Source organism: Homo sapiens, chromosome 5, assembly GCF_000001405.40.
Source record: "Homo sapiens chromosome 5, GRCh38.p14 Primary Assembly".
NCBI classification, from domain to species: domain Eukaryota; kingdom Metazoa; phylum Chordata; class Mammalia; order Primates; family Hominidae; genus Homo; species Homo sapiens.
In genome coordinates, this window is record NC_000005.10 from 14,923,863 (window position 1) to 14,928,069 (window position 4,207).

General features: G+C 40.8%; 1 annotated feature.

Annotated features, from left to right (window-relative positions):
* Positions 1,617-2,816: an enhancer, noted in NCBI's record as "MED14-independent group 3 enhancer chr5:14925588-14926787 (GRCh37/hg19 assembly coordinates)". NCBI's record gives its function as "activates an origin of replication core promoter dependent on BRD2, BRD4, P300/CBP and CDK7 cofactors, and independent of MED14, by STARR-seq in HCT116 cells {active_cell/tissue: HCT116}" and the evidence as "EXISTENCE:reporter gene assay evidence [ECO:0000049][PMID:35650434]".

A 4,207-nucleotide genomic window follows, 5' to 3' on the forward strand; every position in this document is an offset into this window, starting at 1 on the left:
GCTGTTTGGCCACTATGATTTGAAAGCTTATGATATGTTCTATATTTTAAATAACATTGTTTTATTAATTTGATGATGTTAATACACCTAGATATTTTTTTTTCAAACAAACAAATAATTTAAATTTACCAGATGTGGGGGAATGGAATACAAACAGTAACAAATGAACTCAACTCTTTTACAAATTATAATTAGAACCACACAGAATTGGGGCACGAAAGAGCTAAACAAATTAATTTTAAAAAAGCAAGAGTTTTTGACTGTATCTTTAAGTCTAAAGACAAAAAGAACTATGCACAAATACTTTACTATAGTTTACAAATGTGTTTTCACAAGGGTATGAGTTTGCAAATGTGAAATTACTTTATGTGTATGCTAGGATTGAACAAAATGTAAATATACTGTGGATGACAGCCAGGCTTTCTTTTTTTTACTTTTTGAAAGTTTTTAGTTTATTAGTCTTCTCGATACACCTAGATTTTTATCCGCTTATTTCTAGAGACATTCAAATATGCTTTTCTTCCTTCCTTTCTTTCTTCCTTTTTCTTTCTTTCTTTCTTCCTCTTTCTTTCTTTCTTTCTTTCTTTCTTTCTTTCTTTCTTTCTTTCTTTCTTTCTTTCTTTCTTTCTTTCTTTCTTTCTTTCTTCTTTTTGAGACAAGTTCTTGCTCTCTATCCCAAGCTGGGGTGCAGTGGCGCAATCAGAGCTCACTGCAGCCTTGACCTCCTGGGCTCAAGTTGATCCTCCCACTCCAGCCTCCTGAGTAGCTAGGGCTACAGGTATGAGACACACACCTGGCTAATTTTTAAAAAAACATTTGTAGAGACAGGATCTCGCTTTGTTGCCCAGGCTAATCTTGAACTCCTGGTCTCCAGCAATCCTCCCACTTTGGCCTCCCAAAGCTCTGCAGGGATCACAGTTGAGAGCCACTGCATCCAGCCTCAAATATGTTTTTCTATTCCAGGGCCAAGACAATACTCTTTGGTTAATACAAGCACTAGAGAGTAACAATGCAGGACAATTAATCAACAAATATTTGAGAATCTCTATTATGTCAGATACAAACTTCTCTTTAATTAGTGGTTTTTCACAAAAGTCTTTGATAGGACTTGTGCGGTTTTCTGTGGAGAGATTAACAATGGGCCCAAATTAAGAAGGTGGAGACTTTCATTTGAATTAACCAATTATTGGAAAATGGGCTTGATCTTCAGAAGGCAATAAGGTTTTTATGATTTTGCTAAAATTTTCATTGCAATTATTACAGATAGTGTTTTGCATTCAGGTGTAGCCCATATCTGGTTTTTAGAGGTTAGTAAAAGAACAGCTTCCTATTGTTAATCTCTCTTTAATCTCTCTAGTGATTAGCTTATTTTCTAAAGATCTGAGTTATAGACCACCAATACTGAATTAAGATAACTCCTGGTTATGCATGTAAGTCTAAATTTTAAAAAGATCTTATACATCTATATCCTTATTTAAGTCTTACGACTTTTTTGGGTAATGAATCTCATCGTTTGACAACAGATGAAGATTACGCTTTTCATTTTAGTTTGCCAAGAGTTTTAGATCATGCTAACAAAAGCCAATATTGCTTAGCTGAGCTAACTCTAATGGCAGTTTATAAATCACTTCCTATCATTTTAACCACAGGAAGGAGAGGTTGTTAGCCTGCTATACTTGCTTTAAATGTCTAACTGTGGCTTCCATTACAAACAAAAATTATGAAACACACTCATCCACTGTCATGAACTTTTGACTATTAAAAACAAGTACATAATAAAACCTTTTACTTTCAAGCTTAATTTTAAAACCAGGTGTGAGGGCAAAGAGGTTTGCTATGTTGAACACAGGTCTTCAATCACAGGGAAAATTTGTAGTGTGTGATGGATGAGGTTGATATATTTTTTAAAAGATTCTACTTTTTTCTTTTCAGGAAATAAAATCAGAATTACCCGAGAATCTGTCCCATGGTCTCTTGACTATATCAGTCATTCGACAGCGGACAGAAGTCACAGCATCTTTAACAGACAGTCAAGAGACTTAAATGGGGGGCACTGAATTGCTGGGAAAGCTAATGGCTTGTCGAGAGCAGTAGGGTCCCTTTTGATTACAAGGCCTAATCACCACCTTTGCCTTCTGAATGTTTTGCTTCTCATTGCATCTCGTCTCTGAGGATGACAGAGAAGGTGAAATGCAGGCAGCTGTGGTGAAAGATCTGGTGTGAGGGAGCGTTCTCCACCACCCACACATCCTTACCCAGTGTGGGCTGATTTCCGGCTGGCTGCTTTTCCTAACCTCCAGACTGACTCACTCTGTGCTTGTAACCTCGTCATAGCCTCTGTCTCTGCCTTATTTGTCCCACAGGCAGGGCTGGCCCCCTGGCTTACCAGTACCGGGAAGGCATCATAGCCTTCTTAGGGTCTTCTAGTGCTAGAACTGGAAGAGATCTTCGCACATCCCCTCAGCCCCCTGGCTTTGCTGATGATGGAGTTGAGGCCCAGAGAGAAGGTTTTGTGGTCAAGTCTAAGGTTCAGATTTCCTACCTCCAAATATGTCATTTTTCTGAGTCTCACTCTGTCGCCCAGGCTGGAGTGCAGTGGCACAACCTTGGATCACTGCAACCTCTGCCTCCTGGGTTCAAGAGATTCTCCTGCCTCAGCCTCTCGAGTAGCTGGAACCACATGCTTTGCACCACCATGCCTGGCTAATTTTTGCATTTTTAGTAGAGACAGACAGGGTTTCACCATGTTGGCCAGGCTGGTCTCGAACTCCTGATCTCAAGTGATCCACCTGTCTTGGCCTCCCAAAGTTCTGGGATTACAGATGTGAGCCACCGCGCCTGGCCTACCAGATATGTCACTTCTACTCCACTAGGCTCATTATGCTTGTTTACAATTCTTCCTAATACAGACTCATCCCTTTGGAATTACTAGAGTCCTGAGTCCAATATCCTTTGGGAGAGAGGCCAACCTGAGTGTGAAATTGTCAGACACTTATCTTATTAGAGAAGATGGCGATAAGTCAGGGTGCTGAGGGTATGGAACCTTTGTCGAGCGAAATGACAAGATTTCCTCTGGGGCAGGAGGCTCTGACCTGGACTGCTGCTGCTGCAGGTGACTGGCTGAGAAGAGAGAAGGGGCAAAATGGAAACTGTCCTTTTGTCTACATCATGGCTTCCTCTGTGGCTTTCTTCCATCCAAGGCTGCCCTACTACCAGCACTTACCAGCAGCTTTCACAACGTGGAGTGCTAATCTGTGCATCTCAAGGATGTGTAGGGGACTGTTGTGTCTCTATGTCCATCTTTGAGCTTCTTGGCTGAGAGTTCCTCCATGGAGAAGCCTTTGGATCATGAAGACTTCCAGCTGCATTTGCTGCTCAACTCCTTGTAGCCTCTATTGTCCCAAAATATTTTTGTTACCTAAAATGAAGGAAAATTGTTTCTAATTCTGGATGATGTCATTTGTGACAACTCCATCAGGGTTTAGGTAGGATTACATTTCCTTATAAATAGCATACCTAGTTTAAATGAACCTAAATAATGGACCTAAATAACTTCCTTATATTTTTTTCTTTACTTCAAAACATCAGAAAGCAAGCGACATTTTACCTTGTTCTCTTCGAACTTTCCAAAGAAAACTCTACTAGTGTGGACTGCCAGGTACAGGTGGTGAATGAAATAAAGGAACTTTTGGAAACACAGAACCTTTACAATAGAACTAATGACTATGTTAAGTAAAAGATGTAAGCACACCTTAGATGTAGACAGCATCTGAGCTCTCCTTTCTGCAATGTCTTTCACTGATTGTCCCTCAGGCTGGAGAGACTCATGACCAGGATTCCAAGTGAGTCTTTTTTTCCTTTTAAACGAAGTCTGTCTCTGTTGCTCAGGCTGGAGTGCAGTGGCGTGATCTCGGCTCACTGCAACCTCTGCCTCCCAGGCTCAAGTGATTCTCCCGCCTCAGCCTCTCAAGTAGCTGGGACTACAGGTGCACCCCAACATGCCTGGCTAATTTTCTTGTATTTTTAGTAGAGATGTGTTTTTGCCACGTTGGCCAGGCTGGTCTGGAACTCCTGATTTCAGGTGATCTGCCCGCCTTGGCCTCCCAAAGTGCTGGAATTACAGGCATAAGCCACCATGCCCCACCTAAGTGAATCTTAATTCAAGTTACTTAAACATTTTCCCAAATGGGTTTTATGAGATACCACA